Source organism: Homo sapiens, chromosome 1 (assembly GCF_000001405.40).
Source record: "Homo sapiens chromosome 1, GRCh38.p14 Primary Assembly".
Classification (NCBI taxonomy): domain Eukaryota; kingdom Metazoa; phylum Chordata; class Mammalia; order Primates; family Hominidae; genus Homo; species Homo sapiens.
Window position 1 is genome coordinate 232,330,370 of NC_000001.11, and position 13,471 is coordinate 232,343,840.

General features: G+C 48.2%; 1 annotated feature.

Annotated features, from left to right (window-relative positions):
- Nucleotides 1,815-2,795: an enhancer, noted in NCBI's record as "NANOG-H3K27ac hESC enhancer chr1:232467930-232468910 (GRCh37/hg19 assembly coordinates)". NCBI's record gives its function as "activates a minimal SCP1, AML or CMV promoter by ChIP-STARR-seq in primed H9 embryonic stem cells {active_cell/tissue: H9 hESC(primed)}" and the evidence as "EXISTENCE:reporter gene assay evidence [ECO:0000049][PMID:30033119]".

Genomic DNA, 13,471 nt, shown 5'->3' on the forward strand with positions numbered 1-13,471 from the left:
CAATAGCAAGTAACGGGGATTTGTCCCGCCTGGGTGTCTGCCACCAGTTTGCCTGTCGTGGAGCTTGCCTGCATTATTTAACATGTCTGTGCTTCCATTCATTCATGTGAAAATTGAAACAAGCGTACTGCCAGGTGGCCATGGACATAGATATGTCCAGGATCTGGTTTCAAAGCAGTTCAAAAAAAAAAAAAAAAATCAGTCATCAAATACAAGGTTGAAGGACAGAGACCTGTTTCCCGTGTTTGGAGGAGAGGTTGATCCGGATGGATCCGCAGTGATTTTTTTTTTTTTTTTTTTTGAGACGGAATACAGTGGCACCATCTTGGCTCACTGCAACCTCCGCCTCCCAGGTTCAAGTGATTCTCCTGCCTCAACCTCCTGAGTAGCTGAGACTACAGGTGCCCGCCACCATGCCCGGCTAATTTTTTGTATTTTTAGTAGAGATGGGGTTTCACCATGTTAGCCAGGATGGTCTTGATCTCCTGACCTCATGATCCGCCCACCTCGGCCTCCCAAAGTGCTGTGATTACAGGTGTGCGACACCGCGCCCGGCCCGCAGTGATCTTAATGTGCTGATGGATCACTTGTGACTCTCCACTGAGGAGCCACACCCCCTATGTAGGTCCGATGTAGGACCCACAGACCATATCAACATTCAGGGCTGGGGGTTGGGGACTCAAATATGTTCTCCTCACTAGGCAAACCTTGAAATTGCTGAATTGTGCAGTGGGACAGAGTTGTCAGTTGTCTATCTATCTGGGACTGAGGACCTTCAGAAAATAAAGCTTATTTTAAGGGGAGACTCAGACTCAATGAGCTTGACTCCGTAAGGAACCTTTACTTCAAGGAGGGAAGAAGAATTGTTTTCGTATTTTTTTGGTGGAGACGGGGTTTCGCTGTGTTGGCCTGGCCGGTCTCCAGCTCCTAACTGCGAGTGATCCGCCAGCCTCGGCCTCCCGAGGTGCCGGGATTGCAGACGGAGTCTCGTTCACTCAGTGCTCAATGGCGCCCAGGCTGGAGTGCAGTGGCGTGATCTCGGCTCGCTACAACCTCCACCTCCCAGCCGCCTGCCTTGGCCTCCCAAAGTGCCGAGATTGCAGCCTCTGCCCGGCCGCCACCCCGTCTGGGAAGTGAGGAGCGTCTCTGCCTGGCCGCCCATCGTCTGGAATGTGAGGAGCCCCTCTGCCTGGCTGCCCAGTCAGGGAAGTGACGAGCGTCTCTGCCTGGCCGCCATCCCATCTAGGAAGCGAGGAGCGCCTCTTCCCGGCCGCCATCCCATCTAGGAAGTGAGGAGCGTCTCTGCCCGGCCGCCCATCGTCTGAGATGTGGGGAGCACCTCTGCCCCGCCACCCTGTCTGGGATGTGAGGAGCGCCTCTGCCTGGCTGCCCAGTCTGGAAAGTGAGGAGCGTCTCTGCCCGGCCGCCATCCCATCTAGGAAGTGAGGAGCGTCTCTGCCCGGCCACCATCCCATCTAGGAAGTGAGGAGAGCCTCTTCCCGGCCGCCATCCCATCTAGGAAGTGAGGAGCGTCTCTGCCTGGCCGCCCATCGTCTGAGATGTGGGGAGCGCCTCTGCCCTGCTGCCCCGTCCGGGATGTGAGGAGCGTCTCTGCCTGGCAGCCGCCTGGTCTGAGAAGTGAGGAGCCCCTCCACCCAGCAGCCACCCCGTCTGGGAAGTGAGGAGCGTCTCTGCCCGGCAGCCACCTCGTCTGGGAGGGAGGCGGGGGGGTCAGCCCCCCACCCGGCCAGCCGCCCCGTCCGGGAGGGAGGTGGGGGGATCAGCCCCCCGCCCGGCCAGCCGCCCCGTCCGGGAGGTGAGAGGCACCTCTGCCCGGCCGCCCCTACTGGGAAGTGAGGAGCCCCTCTGCCCGGCCAGCCGCCCCGTCCGGGAGGGAGGTGGGGGGGTCAGCCCCCCGCCCGGCCAGCCGCCCCGTCCGGGAGGGAGGTGGGGGGGTCAGCCCCCCGCCCGGCCAGCCGCCCCGTCCGGGAGGGAGGTGGGGGGATCAGCCCCCCGTCCGGGAGGTGAGAGGCACCTCTGCCCGGCCGCCCCTACTGGGAAGTGAGGAGCCCCTCTGCCCGGCCAGCCGCCCCGTCCAGGAGGGAGGTCGGGGGGTCAGCCGCCCCGTTCAGGAGGTGAGGGGCGCCTCTGCCCGGCCGCCCCTACTGGGAAGTGAGGAGCCCCTCTGCCCGGCCAGCCGCCCCGTCCGGGAGGTGTACCCAACAGCTCATTGAGAACGGGCTATGATGACAATGGCGGTTTTGTGGAATAGAAAGGGGGGAAAGGTGGGGAAAAGATTGAGAAATCGGATGGTTGCCGTGTCTGTGTAGAAAGAGGTAGACATGGGAGACTTTTCATTTTGTTCTGTACTAAGAAAAATTCTTCTGCCTTGGGATCCTGTTGATCTGTGACCTTACCCCCAACCCTGTGCTCTCTGAAACATGTGCTGTATCCACTCAGGGTTGAATGGATTAAGGGCGGTGCAAGATGTGCTTTGTTAAACAGATACTTGAAGGCAGCATGCTCGTTAAGAGTCATCGCCACTCCCTAATCTCAAGTACCCAGGGACATAAACACTGTGGAAGGCCGCAGGGTCCTCTGCCTAGGAAAACCAGAGGTCCTTTGTTCACTTGTTTATCTGCTGACCTTCCCTCCACTATTGTCCTGTGACCCTGCCAAATCCCCCTCTGCGAGAAACACCCAAGAATGATCAATTAAAAAAAAAAAAAAAAAAAGAATTCTGAGAACAAGGAATGGCTACTTGGATTTCATCCCTGGCCCAGGGTCTGAGAGCTGGAGAGTTAATAACAAAAAGTGCTGGAAAGTGCTGTCCTCTCTATGCCTCCCCACCCCCACAGAAAACTCTACTAAGGCACAAGTAGCACCTTCAGGACTAACCTTGCTGAGAGTGGCACAAAGGGGAGCGTGGCATTCTCCCTGCTTTCGCCGTGAACTCCCCAGAGTCCTCCAGTGCCCACAGTGCATGGCAGTCCACAGTGATCCTAGGGAGCACATCTTTCTCCTCTTCGTGTTGCTGTCTGTATGCAGGGGCTCAAGTGTGGGAGCCAAAGGGGCCTGACAGAGACAGGGGAGTCCAGCAAACTTCAGCCCCTGCAGAGCAGCTGCAGTTCCCAGGGAGTGCGGAGGTGCCAGTTAGACAAGGCAGTGCTGACCGAGCGTGGTGCCAGCACCTGGGACAACTTTACGGTGGCAGGCAGTGCCCTTGACTGCAGAGTCAGCACCAAGGACTGGATGTGGTACACATGTCCCCAGCTCTCCAGGGGACCCTGAACCTGCCTCACGCACAGCAGGTGCTCAGTGAGTGGATGAAGGAATTGACTTGAGTGATGTTCACAAAAGGAGCATGAAGCATCCAGCTATGGAGATGAGACACAGGGAAATAGATGAGGCCGACTTTTCTTTTCTTTTCTTTTTTGTCTGTAATTTCTAAACTGTGGCTAAAGAAAATGCCAGTATTTGGTTTAATTCCCATCTGGCACCTTTTTCAGCGGTAAATTGATTTCAGTGTTTTTTTTTTTTTTAAAGTCTCATCACGAAGCTTCTATAGTTAGGTATAATTCATCAAGGTTTAGAATTAGCCCAAATTTCTCTAAATCCTTCTTTATTTTTTCACACAAGGCTTCATGATTGTTGGTTTGGAACATTAAGATGCAAATGATAGAGGAAGCGTTACACATTTAAATGTGCAGGGTTGGTGTGGCATTAAGCTGTTCTGGAAAAGAACCACAATCCTCCTCCGGTTTGTTAAGATGGAAAAAATGGGAGAGTGGTGAAAAGGGAGGAAATGTTAGATTTATCTCGATTCATGCTTTGTAGGTCAAGGTGAAAGAAAAGACTATAAGCTTTTCAAGACCTAATCACTGACAGACACGCCTAGCAAAGATCCTGCCTTACCCAGCCAAAGCAGAAAGACCATGGAGGGATTGGAGACAAGAATGGTCTGTTTCCCACTGAGCCCTTAAACTGAGGTCTCCCTGGCCCATCCGTCACTTTCCCTTGGAGAGTTGGTGTGCGTTCCTAACAGAGTGTGTGTTTCCTCCTAAGAGAATTAAAAGTGACAAGATGAGGAGTAATGACATCATGACAGAGGCCAGGCAGTTCCAAATGTGTTCTCCCCAAGGTATGCCACTGCCCAATGTCCATTGTGACTTGGCTCACATCTTCCTCCCTTTTCCTACCTTTCCTCAGTGTCTCTTCTCCTTCCTCCTCCTTCCTCCTCCCTTTTGCCCCTCCCCTCCCCCTTTTCTTCTCTCCCTCTTCCCTTCTCCTCTTTCTCCCCATCATGCTCTCCCATCCCTTTCCCCTCCCCCTCCTTCTTCTGTCCTCCCCTTACCCTTCTCTACCATCTTCCTCCCTTCCCCTCCCTCATCTTCTGGCTCTCCTTCTTCTTCTCTCCTTCCCTCCTTCTTCTCTTTTTCTCCCTCATGTCTCCCCCTTCCCCTGCCCTCCCCTTCCTCCTCCGGTCTTCGCCTGCCTGTCCCACAGTGGCTGAGCCGCCCTGCCCTCTGGCCTGAAGCTCTGACTCCACCTTCTCCATCCCAATCCTCCCCGCCAGAGCCACACACACACATTTGCCCCGGGCTTGGTGCTGGCTTCTCTGAAATCCACCCACCTTGGGAAGGATGAGCCACGTGTTTTTGGGCCTCGGGGCCTTTGAGCATGAGCTGTAAAGAAGGATGAGTGTTTCCGTTTGACTTTGAGCCAAGCTCAGTGGGGAGGAGCGCTTCACCTGTAACGTGCTTGACTTGCCTGGCAAAAGGGCAGCAGGAACCCTGCCCTGCTCTGCCCACCTAAGCCCAAAGGATAGAAGGAGGGCAAGTCTTTTCTCGTGTGGCCGCCCTGGCCTGAGGACATTGCTGGTAGTCTTGTCAGTCCTTCCTGGTCTGTCTCTTTGCGTGGAGAGAGGGATGGCCTAAAGTTGGGAGGCTGAAATGGAGGAAGTTTGGTGATGTCACAGAGGCAGTGTGGTTCAGTAAAACCGGGGTGCTGGCATCGCCACTGTAGCTATGGGCGAGACACCTAACCTCCCTGAGGGCCAGCCCCTCCTTGTCAGGTGGGGTTATGAAGCTCCCCTGTTGAACGTTGTTGGGGTGAGGACATCAGATGTGGTAGAGCAGGAAGAGGCGCTGTCTCCTTTCTTGTGGAGACTTCTCAGAGAAATCATTTCCGCTTACCTATTGACAAAGGGGTTTACCAGAAGGTCAAAAGGGGGCTAGGCCCCAAATCATTCCTTTTCTGGTTTCCTCCTCTCTGGGGGCACTGGGCTTTCATGAATAAGCTCTCCTGCGGCTCTGTCACCAGACAGGCTCTTTCTGCTCCTGGATGGTTGCAGGCCCCATGACTGCCTGGTGTACCATTCTCCCTGGGCTTTCCTGTTCTCTGTCCATTTCAAAATTCTCAGCTTTTGCTCCCACAGCTGACAAGCTCCCTCTCCTCCTTTGCTGGGTGTGTCTTACTCACATTTCCAAGAGGCTGCCTCTGCATGTCACTGTGCCACAGTATTGGCACCCAGTCAGGGGCAAAGCCCCGGCCAAGCCAGCATTGGAAGAAGGGAGGGGTCCTGAGACATGGCTGCCTCGGCCAACTGTTCAGCAGATGCTGTGGGAGGCCCCTTCTCCCCAGCAGGCCTGGGGGTGGTCAGTGATTGACAACTCTACCCACAAGGCAGAGGGACTGAAACCAGAACCACAGAGAAGGCAAGCAGCCTGCTTAGAGACCAGAGAAAAGCCTGCACTTCGCTTCTATTGCATCTCAAGTGTGATAAGAGCACATAGCTTCTCCAAGTCCTCTGAGCCAGTGGAGGGACTGAGCTAACATTATGATGTCCCTAGATGAGTAGGCGGTGGCAATTTGTGCTTTTTTATTTGGCAATAATATTTAACAAGACATTTGGGTCAGTGGGATCAATTAGACCACACTAGAACTAATTAGAAGTGCTGTATTTGATTATAAACTCCCAAAAGGGTACTCATGGTGGCCAGAGTTATTTTTGTGTGCAGGACTTTAAAGAGGGGAACCCTTTGTTCAACAAGGGTGCATACTGAGAGCACAGCCAACTTGTTGGGGCACTAGGTGCTATTGCAGGGGAGGCAGAGATCCCCTCCAACCTCCTTAAGCTCTTATGAGGGCTCTTTGGCTGGATCTAGAAACCAAATTGACACCAGGCAGATTAACAAGAGAAAAACATACAAATTGCATGAGTTTTCCATGTGCATGGAGATCTTCAGAGGAGAGTGAAGTCTGAAGAAGTGGCCAAAGCCAGATGCTTTTGGACTCTTTAGACAAATAATGACAATTTCAAGAAGTGACAGGACAAAGAAAATCGGGCTAGGGCAGTAAATTTTCTAGGAGAGTCATTAGGAGAGATACAGGGGCAGGTGGAGGAGTGTAAAACAGATGGGAGATAAGGGTTACTGTGTAATATTTGTTCATTCAGGTCCTTTGCAGCCCCCACTTCCCAGTCTCTGGTGCTAAGGGCTATTTTCACATGCTAATATGGCAATGGCCCCCGCTCCCACCACCCGACCAGGAGAAATCTTTATGCTTACTGAACGCAGGAAAAGACAAGTCAGCTGACCCTTTCTGAAACGAAATTTCTCCAATGTTTTCAGCTCTAAATCATCAATCCGGCATATTTTTGTATGACATGTCCTTCACTCCTTCACTATCCAGCATGATTATAAAATCCACTCCTGTGTCCTTCGGGGGCTTCAGATTCAGCTGGGGAGACAGAAAATCAGGAGAATTCTTCCAAGAAAGACTATTCTGCATAATATAGCAAGTAGAAGTTGGAGAGCTAGGAACAGCATGAGAGGGTGGGGAGAGGAACAGAGGTGAGAGAGAGATAAAGTGTGAGCCAGTAAGATGCCAGCGAGCTGAGCACTGCAATGTGGACCCAGCCCCCAAGCCTTGCTGAAGTCTACTAATCTCATGGATTTTTGCATGAGGGATTTTTGTTGCTGTTGTGTGGTGGTGATGGTTGGCACCATAAGGTGTTCATCTGGTATGTTATAGAAAGAGCAAGAGGAAGCAAGGTCCAAGAGGCAGATGGAGCCACCTCACTTTCCACCTGCTATGATTTGAACATTTGTCCCCTCCAAAACCCATGTTGAAATTTAATCCTCAATGACTATTGAGAGGTGAGGTCTTTACAAGGTGATTGGGTCATGAGCCCTGTTTCCACATGAATAGATTAATGGGTTAATGGATTACTGAGTTATCATGGGAGTGGGACCAGTGGCTTTATAAGAAAAGGAAGAAAGACCCAAACCAACATGCTCAGCTCCCTCACATGTGATGCCCGTGCCACCTCAGAATGCCACAGGATCCCCACTAGCAAGAAGGTTCTCACCAGATGCAACCCCTTGACCCTTGACCCTGGACCTCTCACCCTCCATAATTGTAGCAAATGAGTTTCTTCCCTGTATAAATTACCCAGTTTAAACTATTCTTTTATAAGCATCAGAAAACAAACTAAAACACCACCCACCCTGAGCTCAGAAACTGGGATAAATTGTTGGGAGTATTTTGACATTCCCCAAATGTGAAATTCAGGGTGCACAACAAGAATTATAGATTAGAAAAGAACTAATTATGGAGTTATGTACATAGGGAATACAGTCCCAGCACCCTATCTTTGTACCATACATTGTTTCTTACAAAGAGACCTTACAACCTAGCACGTCAGTTAGAAATACTGGTAGATGGCTTATTAAACGCTCATGAATCGGTTTACGTGATTTATTTCATTGAATCATCACAGCAACATCGTGCAGTATGTATTGTTATTAACTGCTCCCCACTGCCCCTCTGCCCCAGTTTTACCGATGTGGGGAGTAAAGTGCAAGGACGTTGGATGGTGCCATGGAGCCCGCAGCTGGTCACTGGTGGCGAGATGAGCGCCAACACAGGCATAGTGAGTCTGGAATGAGCATTCCTCACCTGCGCCACACACTGCCTCTTTATATGGCCCTGACATCACATGACACAGACCAAGCTGTGCTGCAGAACCATCCCTGTCTTTCCCTCCAACCACTGGCAGAGAATTCAATCTGACATTCTGACATTGCCCAGTCATCATGGTGTCCCCACACCAAGGGCAGTATCCTGCCCAAAGGAGCTCAGCAACTTGTTGCAGGGGTGAGGTTAGCAGGTAGGTTTTAACTACTCTCAGAAAAGTTTCCAGACAAGAGGCTTTATACCCCAGCACATCCAGGTCTTTATCATAAGCCACTGAAAGCACACACTGTGTCTAAGATGCTGCATCTGAGATTCTCCAGAGGAGAGGGCATTGGTCATCTGCACGAGGTGTCAGGCTGGGGAAGTAAGATTTCTATTTTATCATGATGTCTTTTAAGATACTAAGTCCAGGAATGCCGTCTCAAATCCTATTGGAAGAAAAAGGCAAGAGATAAATACATTTCAATAGGGAAAGGAAACATGCAGGAACAGTTATGGAGAAACCCTGTCATGTTATATGCACCCTATGATGACTGCCCATGTTACTGATTTTGTAACATAAAGTAGAATGTATCCCCAGTGTTTCTCCTTTTGAAGGGAACAGACCTTTACAGCCAGTATCACACAGAAAGAAGCCTTGGTTCACAGAGTCCATGTGTGTGTCTCATGTTTTTGAGCCAAGCCACACCATGGCCCCCAGAGTCCTCGTGTCCTGCACAGCTGAAGGAGCTGGAATTGGCACAGCTGAGAGTACAGGTGAAGCCTCACCTGGCAAGACCGGCCCTCTATTCATGTCCTGCTTTTTGTGTGAGGTAGAAGGGGGACATTGGTCATGCTGGCCCCATAGACTTGGGTCTATAGCCAGTTAACAGCTGTTCCCTTGAGAACCCACTCATCCAGAAGGAATAGCTCAGTCTGAGCATCAGCCTTCTGGTGCCCTAGCTTGTTTGTTCTCCTCCCCAGCTCCGAGTGGTGTTCAAGAGAGAGGAAAATGTGAAGCTGTTAAGCATTTGGGGAAGAGGCATAGAGCCATCAGACTAGGGGCAAGGAGAACCATCAGACTAGGGGGCTAGGGACAGGGGTAAAGAGAGCTATCAGGCTAGGTGCAGGAAGAGTCATTAGACCACCAGAGTAAGTAAGGAGAGCCATGAGACTTGGGGCAGAGCGAGCCATCAGACTATTTTAGCTCAGTGTACAGATATGACCTCACTCTTAGATTATTCCAGCATATAGAAATTAGAACTTATCAAATGGTCATTAAGATGTAGTATATATCTTTAGGAAAGCCAGCTCAAAGTAGATAAATCTAGAAGTCAATTGAAAATATGATTTGATTTTTTAAAAACTGCACTTGCACATAATCTTTAAGGAGATATTTGAAACAGGTTGTTCTATATACCATCAGTTCTTCCACACCATTCTGTATCATGAAATGACAGACAGCCTGAAAGAGACACTTCTAACAAAAGGCACAGGCCCCAGGAAAACCCATGAAATCTAGGTGTAGGCAAATATCTGTGTTTATGCATATATATGCATGTATTTATATATAAAAGAGAGTAAGTTTATGGGATTTAAAACTTAAAAAATACTAATCTAGACAATTGAACTATGCAGACAGACAGAAAGTGTGAGATTTTCCCTTCAATTTTTCACAAATTTCTCCTTGAATTATTTAAGCTCAGCATTTCTAACTATGAGTCAAAATACCAGCTTGGTGCAAATTTCTTTGATGCAGGTTGTGAATCATTCTATGAGACAATGTCTGTGAAGCTCTACAAACTCCCCCTAAATCAAATATACTTATTTATTGATAATATTCACATGAAATTCTTCTCAAAACCAAAAGTGACTGGTGTTTCCTGTGTACCCAGCTGCTGTATATCCATTCTTCAGAGTATCTTCATCTAGATTACATTAAGAAGTTGTCTCCAGACCCATCAACCATTCCCCGCTAACTGTGCCTCATGAGTTCCAGAATTTGAGGAGAATCAGTGGGATATGGATACCATTTGGGTCATTTGTAAAAGCAGCATGCTTTGACCACCTCTGCTCCAGGCCTTCCCCTGAAGCCATGAGACACCCTTCTTTCTCCAGTGGAATGGGACATAACTATTGCGCTTGGCTTTCCATCCCTTTCCTCATCCAATCCCTGCCCCTGCCCACCTGATTGTCCGGGACACACAGAGTTCTCAAGGAAGCCTGCCCCTCCTTGAGTGTGTGTGACATAGGATAAGAGAATGTAGCTTTTGCCTGGGAAGTGTCCTGAGCACTCAGTGGCTTCCTTTAGCACTTGGCAGTGTTAAGCAACACAGTGACGAGTCAGAGAAATGGCCTGTGTGATGGAGGCTACTCTCATGCATGTGCCTATCTCTGTTAGAGGTCAGGGCATGCTTGAGTTAGAGATCAAAGCCTGCTCAATGCCGGGAAGTATATAGCAGATACAAAGCAGGAAGGATATATTGGATACCAAGCCATCAGTGAGGCAGCTGTTGTGAGCAGGTGAAGTGATCATCAAAATTCAAAATAACTAGGAGACTTGCAGTTTGGGTTTTTTGTTTTTATTTTTAATTTTGTGTAGAGACATGTCTTGCTTTGTTGCCTAGCCTGGTCTCAAACTTCTGGGTTCAAGCAATCCTCCTGCTTCAGCCTCCCAAAGTGCTTGGATTTACAGGTGTGAGCCACCGTGTCCAGCTGACTTCCAGTTTTGTGTAATTGTTTTGAAACAACTGTGTGGGCATTGGTTATTAGGATTGGTTTGTTGCTTTGTTTTTCCAGACTATCTTCTCACCTTAAATTATATCATCCAACTAAGTCTCTTTCCAAGAACCAAGAGATTTCCAAGCCATCTCTTGAAGGGATCAGCTTTTTCTTGCAAAGATGAAGGGAACTGGTATTGGTCTCATCTTGCATGTATCACAGCCCCAGCCCTGGAAGCGAATGTGCCAACAGGACACTGTTATGAGACAGGGCCTGCCTGATCAACTCCTCACTATGACCAGCTGCCTTACTCCTTCAAATTTATTTCTAGAGGAATTTAGAAGTCAGCATTCTGGGAAATGGCATGGTTAATCCCTCTTCAGTCCCAGCCTGCCTGACTAGCCCTACCTCCAGCTACACCCTCAGTCCCTCCATACAGTTGGTCAGTTTCATTCCCACCTCCTTGCATCTTTTTATGATATTTCTTTCCCCTTTTCCTGGCATATCTGCTCTTCACCTTCTGCCCGTTTTTCAGGGCCCAAGGAAAGGCTAGCCTCCACTTGCATACATTCCTTGGCTTCTCTGGTCTACAGACATGCTGCTATCGACTCCATGAACACCTATGCTCTGCGTTGCTCATTCTTGCACTTCATTATGGGCAGCCCTGCAGGCTTTGACTTATTTTTTGTCCATTTGAACATATACAACTGAGAAGGGACACTGAGAAAGCCCTGGACAAATATCTATCTGAATTCTTTTTGAGTTAATAGAAATCATCTACAGGTCTTGTCTATACAAATGGTCTGTAGGCAAAGTGAATACCAGAGTTGTACATTCTTTTTTTTTTTTTTTTTTTTGAGACGGAGTCTCGCTCTGTCACCCAGGCTGGAGTACAGTGGCGCGATCTTGGCTCACTGCAAGCTCCGCCTCCTGGGTTCAGGCCATTCTCCTGCCTCAGCCTCCTGAGTAGCTGGGACTACAGGAGCCCGCCACTATGCCTGGCTAATTTTTTGTATTTTTAGTAGAGACGGGGTTTCACCGTGTTAGCCAGGATGGTCTCTATCTCCTGACCTCATGATCTGCCCACCTCGGCTTCCCAAAGTGCTGGGATTACAGGCGGGGCCAGTTGTAATTGAAGGCAATTACATTCTTGAAGGCAAAGTTTCTGTCTGCTTCATCTTTGAAACTCCCAGAGTATCTAGTCTTGACTCAAGAATCAGTTGACATTGCATATAATTTAATACTTACCATCATTGATTTCAATACTTAACTGAAACTCAACCTTGAGAATTTCCTCCTCTACAGAACAAATCCCATTTCAGATTCCTCATCAGTGTCTCATCTGAAATATGGGGATGATAATGCTACGTAACCACATAGAGTTACAGAGTGTGTTACATTAATTCTACATGTAAAATACTCAGTAAATTGAATTCCTAGGTATTTCATTCTCTTTGAAGCAATTGTGAATGGGAGTTCACTCATGATTTGGCTCTCTGTTTGTCTGTTGTTGGTGTATAAGAATGCTTGTGATTTTTGCACACTGATTTTGTATCCTGAGACTTTGCTGAAGTTGCTTATCAGCTTAAGGAGATTTTGGGCTGAGATGATGGGGTTTTCTAGATATACAATCATGTCATCTGCAAACAGGGACAATTTGACTTCCACTTTTCTTAACTGAGTACTCTTTATTTCCTTCTCCTGCCTGATTGCCCTGGCCAGACTTCCAACACTATGTTGAATAGGAGTGGTGAGAGAGGGCATCCCTGTCTTGTGCCAGTTTTCAAAGGGAATGCTTCCAGTTTTTGCCCATTCAGTATGATATTGGCTGTGGGTTTGTCATAAATAGCTCTTATTATTTTGAGATACATCCTATCAATACCTAATTTATTGAGAGTTTTCAGCATGAAGGGCTGTTGAATTTTGTCAAAGGCCTTTTCTGCATCTATTGAGATAATCATGTAGTCAAGGAGAACTACAAACCACTGCTCAACGAAATAAAAGAGGACACAAACAAATAGAAGAACATTCCATGCTCATGGATAGGAAGAATCAATATCATGAAAATGGCCATACTGCCCAAGGTAATTTATAGATTCAATGCCATCCCCATCAAGCTACCGATGACTTTCTTCACAGAACTGGAGAAAACTACTTTCAAGTTTATATGGAACCAAAAAAGAGCCTGCATTGCCAAGACAATCCTAAGCCAAAAGAACAAAGCTGGAGGCATCACGCTACCTGACTTCAAACCATAATACAAGGTTATAGTAACCAAAACAACATGGTACTGGTACCAAAACAGAGATATAGACCAATGGAACAGAACAGAGCCCTCAGAAATAATACCACACATCTTCAACCATCTGATCTTTGACAAACCTGACAAAAACAAGAAATGGGGAAAGGATTCCCTATTTAATAAATGGCGCTGGGAAAACTGGCTAGCCATATGTAGAAAGCTGAAACTGGATCCCTTCCTTACACCTTATACAAAAATTAATTCAAGATGGATTAAAGACTTAAATATTAGACCTAAAACCATACAAACTCTAGAAGAAAATCTAGGCAATAGCATTCAGGACATAGGCATGGGCAAGGACTTCACGTCTAAAACACCAAAAGCAATGGCAACAAAAGCCAAAATTGAGAATGGGATCTAATTAAACTAAAGAGCTTCTACACAGCAAAAGAAACTATCATCAGAGTGAACAGGTAACCTACAGAAAGGGAAAAAATATTTGCAATCTACTCATCTGACAAAGGGCTAATATCCAGAATCTACAAAGAA